Source organism: Homo sapiens, chromosome 10, assembly GCF_000001405.40.
Source record: "Homo sapiens chromosome 10, GRCh38.p14 Primary Assembly".
Classification (NCBI taxonomy): Eukaryota; Metazoa; Chordata; class Mammalia; order Primates; family Hominidae; genus Homo; species Homo sapiens.
In genome coordinates, this window is record NC_000010.11 from 16240843 (window position 1) to 16245375 (window position 4533).

Here is a 4533-nt window from a genome sequence, read left to right on the forward strand (position 1 = left end):
TTAAAAGAGAAATGGATAGAAGGATACACAACAAATTTCAATCATCAGTGTACAATTTTGTATATTACAAAATTATTGATGGCATATGTGGCAAAATGTGATAATTTATTAAAACTGAGTGGTAGAAAGGAGTATGTATTATAAAATCTTATTCTCTATCTTTATGCTTTAAATATTTCATAATTAAAAAAATTTCCTGTCTAGTAGGAACACTTGAGTATTAAAATTGAAAGGGTCAGGAATTACAGACAAAATTAATGACAGGAGACCAACATCCAGACATATCTTGATGAAACTTTTGAATCTCAAGGATAAAAAATATTAGAACCATCCAGGCAGCAAAAAGAAGTCACCTATCAAAGCAAAAACTCTTAGGGGACCTCAAACTTCTCTGCACACTAAATGGCAGAAGTCATAAGGCAAAGTCTACAGAGTTTTTAGGGCAGAATAAGTACAAAAATTTCATTCCCAAACTAGCTAGTGATTGTGTGTGAAGGAAACCAGAATATTCTTAATCATTCAAGGACCTGGAAATTATAGCAACCAGAAATTCTTCCTGAAATATCTAGTCAGATATAGTTCAGCTATCTGAGAGATCAATCCAAATAAAAAACCTGTTAAGTCATGGTAGAAAAAAATTAAACATGAACAGTTTAACTGTCTATATAATGTAGAGTTAAAACTAAATAGTTGTGATAAAGCTTAATACAATGTAATAAAATTGGACAAGTAGATTCATATTCCAAAAATTTAATAATATTATATATGTAATTCACAAAATCATCAAAAAGTATAAACAAAATTTCTAAAATGTTGGAGTTTCTCATACAGCAGGGAGAAAAGAGACACATCTATTTGGGGACAGTTGCAGTGTCTTTTTATTTTTAATTCTCAGTAAATAATTTAATATATAATCAGAACTTCCAATTTTATCTCCAATATGTAAAGAGCTTAGACATCATTACTCCTGTATTAGTCAAGATTCTCCAGAGAAATATAACCAATAATATGTGTGTGTATGTGTATGTATCAAACATATATACATATGGCCAAGTACAGTGGCTCATGCCTATAAACCCAGCACTTTCGGAGGCCAAGGCAGGCAGATCACGAGGTCAGGAGATCGAGGCCATCCTGGCTAACACAGTGAAACCCCGTCTCTACTAAAAAAATACACAAAAAAATTAGCCGGGCATGGTGATGGGTGCCTGTACTCCCAGCTACTTGGGAGGCTGAGGCAGGAGAATGGCGTGAACCCAGGAGGCAGAGCTTGCAGTGAGCCGAGATCATGCCACTGCACTCCAGCCTAAGCGACAGAGCAAGACTCCATCTCAAAAAAAAAAATATATATATATATAATATATATGTATACACACACACACACACAAAGAGAGAAACAGAAACAAAGAGTGATTTATTATAAAGATTTATCACATAATTATTAAGACTGAGAAGCCACAAAATCTGCAGCAGGAATTGGCAAGCTAGAAACTCAGGAGAGCCAATGATATAGCTCCAGTCTGAAGGCCAACAGGTTAGCAACGCAGAAAGAGTTGATGTTTCAGTATGATGGGAAGAAGAAGCCCACATCCCAGTTAGAAGTTAGACAGACAGGAAGGATTTTCTTACTTGGGGGAGGTCTAGTTTTTTTTCTATTCAGGCATTCCACTAATTGGAGAAGATTCTCCTACATGAGTGAGGGGAATCTGATTTATTCATTCTGCTAGTTTAAATGTTAATCTCATCCCAAAACAACCTGACAGAAACTCCCAGACTAATGTTTGACCAAATATCTGGGCACTGTGGGGCTCAGTCAAGTTCACATATTCAATTAACCATTGCAACTCCCTTTTTTGCAACAAGATAAAGTTGAACGAACTGAAAATTATGACATTTCTTGGACCCATCCGAGAACTGAATTTGCAGGACAAACCGACACTTTGAAATTTGGAAAGACAGGTGAATGTAGACAGCCTGGATCTGCTTAACTGAGGCAGAAGCCACTGGAGTTATAAACTGGTATGAATGCTTACATGATAATTTTCATGAATTGCTGGAGGCTGAGTGTGGACTCACATGACAATGAGAAAGTCCTGGAAGCTATGGTCTTAGAAGACTCCTACATTTTTCTGGGCTTTACTTTTAGAAACCCTACCAGATGAAGTCCAAGAAAGAGCTGTTTATGGCTCTAGCAGGGAGAAGAGAAGAGTAAGCCTTGAAATGCACCCAGAGCTTTCTCCATAACAAAAGCCTACTCTCCAGGTTAAAAGAATTCATCAGAGCCTATTCAAGAGCCATGGGGGAGGACATTCCTCTCATTCCAGTCTCCTCTAGCTCTTCTGTCACATCTATGGGAAGACAGGAGTAATCTATATGTTACAGGATGATTTGTGTCTCCCTATAATTCACAATGTTCCCCCCAAATTTATATGTTGAACTCCTAACCCCTAGTACCTTAGAATGTGGCTGTATTTAGAGATAGAGTCTTTGAAGAGGTAATTAATTTAAAATGAGGTCATTAGGGTGGGCCCTAACCAACATTACTGATGTCCTTAAAGGAAAAGATTAGGGCACTGACACACACAAAAGAAAGATACAGGAAGAAGATGGCCATCTATAAGTCAAGGAAACAGGCTCCACAAGAAACCAACCATGCCCACACCTTGATCTTAGACTTCCAGGCTCCAGAATTTCAAAAAATAAATCTCTGCTGTTTAAGCCATCCAGTCTGTTTTACCTTGTTATGGCAACCCTGGTATCTTAGTTTGTTTAGTGTTGCTGTAATAGCATGCTATATACAGGGCAATTTATAATGAACAGGAATGTAATTGGCTCACAATTCTGGAGGCTAGGAAGTCCAATATCAAGGTGCCAGCATCTTGTGAGGGTCTTCATGCTGTGTCATCCCACGGCAAAGGCAGAAGAGCAAGAGCGGTAATAAGAGATCAAACTCACAGCTTCAAGTGCTTTTATCATTGGCGTGAATTTACTTATGAAAGTGGGGCCCTTATGCCCTAAACATCTCCCTTTAGGCCTCACCCCCCCAATGCTGTTGCTTTGGGGATTAAGTTTCCAACACTTGCTTTTGGCGGGACACACTTAAACAATATTACATACAAGCTAATACCCTATACCAAAAACAACAGCAGCAGCAACAACAACAACAACAAACAACCTTGTGGAAGTCACAAGCCAGAGACATTGGCCTACTATAAGGCTGATATTTAATTGGAATATTATAGAATAATCCTTCTCTTCCATATTTATTCCCACACCAATAGGACTCCCATATACTAACAGTAGATTACAGCTAAAAGTGCTCCAAGACAGATTCTTTCTGAGTAGGAGTACTTAGAGATACACAAAATCAAGAAGGAAGAGGAATTTGCAATATCTAGTATATAAAGCTACAGAAAACATGAAGCCCAATCCAAACCAGATGAATAAAAATCTCACACTTAAGACTTATTGACCTCAATTCCTATCACACAAAACATCAGAATCAGACTCAGATTTGACACAAAATAGGAGTTATTACACAGGCAATTTAAAATAACTATGATGAATATGCTAACGGCTCTAATGGTGGCTCATGCCTGTAATCACTTTGGGAGGCTGAGGTGGGTGGATCACCTGAGGTCAGGAGTTTGAGACCAGCCTGGCCAACATGGCGAAACCCTGTCTGCACTAAAAAATACGAAAATTAGCCAGGATGGTGCCCCACACTTGTAATCCCAGCTACTGGGGAGGCTGAGGCAGGAGAATCACTTGAACCTGGGAGGCAGAGATAGCAGTGAGCTGAGATCATGCCACTGCACTCCAGCCTGGGCAATAGAGCAAGATGCTGTCAGGAAAAAAAAAAAAAAAAAAAAAAAAAAGGCCTGTAATATAAGCAGAGCAATGGAAGTTTTAAGAAAAGCATGAAAGGAAATGCTACAAATAAAAATACTGCACTGAAATAAAGAATACCTTTGATAGTCTCTCTAACACTTAGAAGTCTAAAGAATTAGTGAGCGGTCAATAGAAACTTTTAAAACTAAAATGCAAAAGGAAAGAAAGGATAAAGAAATAGATGACAATATCCAAGAACTATGGGACAATTTGAAAGATCTAGTATATGCATAATTGGAATACTAGAAGAAGTATCAAATGAAGCAAAATGAATTTTGAAGTAATAGCTGAGAACTTTTCAGAATTTTGGACTACACAAATTCAAAAATTTTTTAAATTTAAATTTAAAAATTTTAAAAAAGAAACCCACTGGGCATATTATATTCAAATTGCAGGAGACTAAAAACCAAAATAAATTCTTGAGACAGGAAAAATACACCTTACCTCTAGAAGAACAAGGTAAGATTTACAGCAGATTAAAAAAAAAATCAGAAATCATGCAAGCAAGGAGAAAGTAGAGTGAAGTAGTGACTGTTGAAAACAAAAGTACCAACCAGAATTCCAGCAAAATTATCCTTCAAAGGGAGGCATAAATAAGACTCTCAGACAATCAAAAACTGATGGAACTCACCACTAATAAAT

General features: G+C 37.2%; 2 annotated features.

Annotated features, from left to right (window-relative positions):
* Window positions 1467-2465: an enhancer, noted in NCBI's record as "OCT4-NANOG-H3K27ac hESC enhancer chr10:16284308-16285306 (GRCh37/hg19 assembly coordinates)". NCBI's record gives its function as "activates a minimal SCP1, AML or CMV promoter by ChIP-STARR-seq in naive and primed H9 embryonic stem cells {active_cell/tissue: H9 hESC(naive and primed)}" and the evidence as "EXISTENCE:reporter gene assay evidence [ECO:0000049][PMID:30033119]".
* Window positions 2466-3464: an enhancer, noted in NCBI's record as "OCT4-NANOG-H3K27ac hESC enhancer chr10:16285307-16286305 (GRCh37/hg19 assembly coordinates)". NCBI's record gives its function as "activates a minimal SCP1, AML or CMV promoter by ChIP-STARR-seq in naive H9 embryonic stem cells {active_cell/tissue: H9 hESC(naive)}" and the evidence as "EXISTENCE:reporter gene assay evidence [ECO:0000049][PMID:30033119]".